At 35.2% G+C, this 3,920-nt stretch overlaps 1 annotated feature.

The window, feature by feature from the left end:
- Positions 604-804: a silencer, noted in NCBI's record as "peak3174 fragment used in MPRA reporter construct". NCBI's record gives its function as "represses an SCP1 promoter by STARR-seq MPRAs in K562 erythroleukemia cells {active_cell/tissue: K562}" and the evidence as "EXISTENCE:reporter gene assay evidence [ECO:0000049][PMID:32103011]".

The following is a 3,920-nucleotide window of genomic DNA, read 5'->3' as shown; positions in this document are numbered from 1 at the left end:
ATAGAGGAAAGCAAGGAAATTATTAACACATTCTAATTAATGCTGGAAGAAGGCGGGGGAGATGTAATCAGGAAAAGCATATTGGCGATTTCTAGGGTGTGGCAATGTTCAGTCCATAATGATTTAAACTAGGGTGTCCAATCTTTTGGCCTCCCTGGGCCACATGGAAGTAAAGGAATTGTCTTGGGCCACACATAAATTTCACTAATGATAGCTGATGAGCTAAAAAAAAAAAAAAATTGCAAAAAATTTCACAACGTTTTAACAAGGTTTACGCATTTGTGTTGGGCAACATGCAGACCGTGGGCCACAGGTTGGACAAGCTTGATTTAAACTTTATGCATATGATTCCATTTAATTTTATATAATTGCTGTATTTTTATTGGAAAAAAATAGATTACCAGCCTCTGTTCTGTACATTTCCTGTCACCCTGAGATCCACAGCTATGACCTGCCTCCCAATAGCATGACACACACACACACAGACACACACACACACCCTCTCACCCATAATTTAATTACATTATATGATTTGTCATTGTCCCAAAATCAATGCATTTGCTTTCGATCTACTCAGATTTGCTATTTGTTATTCCATTTTCTTAAGATGTCCGATCCTCTCCATTTGATCACTGTTGGGAAGAGTTGGTTTAAATGCATTATCTCTGTAAAACTTTTTCCAGTCCCTGCAGACAGAATGAATCATTTCCTCTTTTGACTTCCTGTGGTACTCTGTTTAGTTCTCTTCTTACTGCTTTCCTTAAATCATGTTCAAGTTATTTATCTGACTTGCTCCTTTGTCCCTGTCCTCACACCATGAATACGGAGGTATCAACTCTTGTTTATCTCTTTTAATTCCTACTTCTGCTCTAGCATGTAATAAGCGTTTAGAAAATTATTTAAGCTGAAGAAGACAAGTGAAGATTAATGCAAAATTTGAAGTATATTATCAAGTTATTTGTTGCATTTAACACAAAAATCATCATTATTTACAGAGAAAAACTTATAAAATCCAGAAACAGTATAGTTAGGATAAGAAAAAGTATACAACAATCATATAATGGCAAAAACCAGAGTTCTCTGACAAAAATAATGAGGGAGGTTAAAGATACATGATCATAATCTTAGAAGACAGATAACTTGAAAAGGTCAGAGATTTGGTACATCCAAGTAGACAATTATATAACTCTTTAAATGATGGCTCAAGATATACTCTTAAAGATAACAAACTCTATAACATTTTTTATAGACTGGACCTTGAATTTTTGAGTGTTAGAGATAGCTCCTGCAAAAAAAAAATCATAAGATAATGTGTTCCTGACTAACACAGTAAGCAATGTTAAGATCTCATGTTTACAGAAGACCTGAATCCTCATCCACAATGGAAACCATCATTGGCCCAAAATGAAAAAGCAAGTGTTTGCAAATCTTAAGAAAAGGCATTCTAGTGGGTGTTCTATCCACCGTCAATGGCCCAGTTAGTGTCTAATTCATCACAAAAGGTCAATCAATTTCGTTCTGTAGAAAATTGAACAACTTTCTCTATAACACAACTTAAAAGTAGGAAACTGACTTTGTGGTTTGCTTCCCCATTGTGATAGTTCTCCAGCTCCTCATAAACTACAACATGATTTTTAAGTATTAAAAATTAAAAAGACTTTGTTTCAAGTGACGTAGCAACCTACGTTCAAAACCTAAAGATTTGCTATAGCAGAGGATGTTTGTTTTAATGCACATTTATTACAAAAACAATTAGAAACCAGAAATGTTTCAAATATTCTTGTAATCAAACATCTTTATTGTGGTAGAACATATTTGATGTATTTTGTTATAACTTCAACTTATATTTTAGATTCAGGGGGTAGATGTGCAAGACACTGAGATTTGGGGTGTGAATAATCTCATCACCCAAGTAGTGAGCATAGTACCCAATACATACTTTTTTAGCCCATGCCCTCCTCCTTCCCTCCACTGTCTAGTAGTCCCTGGTGTCTATTGTTTCCATTTTAATGTCCATTATCCTATGTTTAGCTCCTACTTATTGGTGAGAACAATGCAGTACTTGCTTTTCTGTTCCTGCATTAATTCATTTGGGATAATGACCTCCAGTTGTATCCATGTGACTTCAAAGGACATTAATTCATTCTTTTTATGACTGCATAGTATTCAACAGTGTACCACATTTTCTTTATTCAGTCCAACATTGACTGGCACCTAGGTTGATTCCATATCTTTGCTATTGTGAATAGAGCTGCAATGACCATACAAGTGCACGTCTTCTTTGTAATCATTTATTTTCCTTTAGGTATACACCCAGTAGTTGAATTGCTTGGTCAAATGGTAGTCCTCTTTCAAGCTCTTTGTGAAATCTCTAAACTGCTTTCCACAGTGGCTGAACTAATTTGCATTCTCACCAAGAGTGGATAAACCTTCACTTTTCTCCACAGCTTCACCAACATGTTATTTTTTGACTTTTTAGTAATAGCCATTTTAATTGGTGTGAGATAGTATCTCGTGATTTTAATTTGCATTTCTCAGATGATTAGTGATGATGGGCATTTTTTCATGTTTCTTGGCCACTGCATGTCTTCTTCTGAGAAGTGTTTATTCATGTCTTTTGCCCACCTTTCAATGGGGTTGTTTTTGCTAGTTGATTTGACTTTCTTATAGATTCTAAATATCAAACCTTTGTTGGATGCATAGTTTGCTAATATTATCTCCCATTCTGTAGGTTGCCCGTTTGCACTGTTAATAGTTTCTCTGACTGTGCAGAAGCTCTTTAATCAGGTCCCATTTGCCAATTTTGGGTTTTGTGGCAATTGCTTTTGAGAACTTAGTCATAAATTCTTTGCCTAAGGCTTAATGAACAAGATATTTTCTAGGTTTTAAGTTTTTATAGTTTGACATCTTACATTTAAATCTTTAATCCACCTTAATTTTTATATATGGTGAAAGGTAGGGGTTCAGTTTCATCCTTCTGCATGTGGCTAGCCAGTTATCCCAGCACCATTTATTGAATAGGGAGTCCTTTGCTCATTGCTTATTTTTGTTGACTTTGTCGAAGATCAGATAGTCATAAGTATGCAGCTTTATTTTTGGGCTCTGTATTCTTTTGCATTGGTCTATGTGTCTGTTTTTGCACCAGTATCATCCTGATTTGGTTATTGTAGCCTTATAATATAGTTTGAAGTCAGGTAATGTGATGCCTCCAGCTTTGTCCTTTTTGCTTAGGATATCTTCGGCATTAAGGCTCTTTTATGGTTCCATGTGATTTTTAGAATAGTTTTTTCTAATTCTGTGAAAAATGGCATTGGTAATTTGATAGGGATAGCATTGAATCTGTAGATTGCTTTGGGCACTATGGCCATTTTAACTACATTGATTCTTCCAGTCCATGAGCATGAAATGTTTTTCCATTTGTTTGTGTCATCTAAAAACACATTCAGCAGTGTTTTGTAGTTCCTCATGTAAAGATATATTTCACCTCCTTGGTTAGAGATTGTGTTGCTACATACTTTATATTAATATTTTTGTGGCTATTGTAAATAGGATTACATTCTTGATTTGGCTCTCAGCTTGAATTCTACTAGTGTATAGAAATTCTACTCATTTTTGCATATTGATTTTGTATCCTGAAACTTTACTAAAGTTGCTTATTAGTTCTAGGAGCCTTTTGGTGGAGTCTCTTGGGATTTCCAGGTATGAAGTCATATTGTCAACAAAGATATAATTTGACTTCTTCTTTTCCTATTTGGATGCCTTTTCTTTCTTTCATTTGCTTAACTGCTCTTAAGACTTCCAGTACTGTGTTGAATGAGAATGATGAGTGGGCATCCTTATCTTCCTGTTCTTAAGGAGAATGCTTCCAGCTTTTGTTCATTCAGCATGATGCTGGCTGTGGGTTTGTCATAGATGGCTCT

The sequence above is a fragment of the Homo sapiens genome, chromosome 18 (assembly GCF_000001405.40).
Source record: "Homo sapiens chromosome 18, GRCh38.p14 Primary Assembly".
NCBI classification, from domain to species: domain Eukaryota; kingdom Metazoa; phylum Chordata; class Mammalia; order Primates; family Hominidae; genus Homo; species Homo sapiens.
Note: the sequence above shows the minus strand (reverse complement) of the source record. Positions and strands in the feature narration are given on the sequence as shown.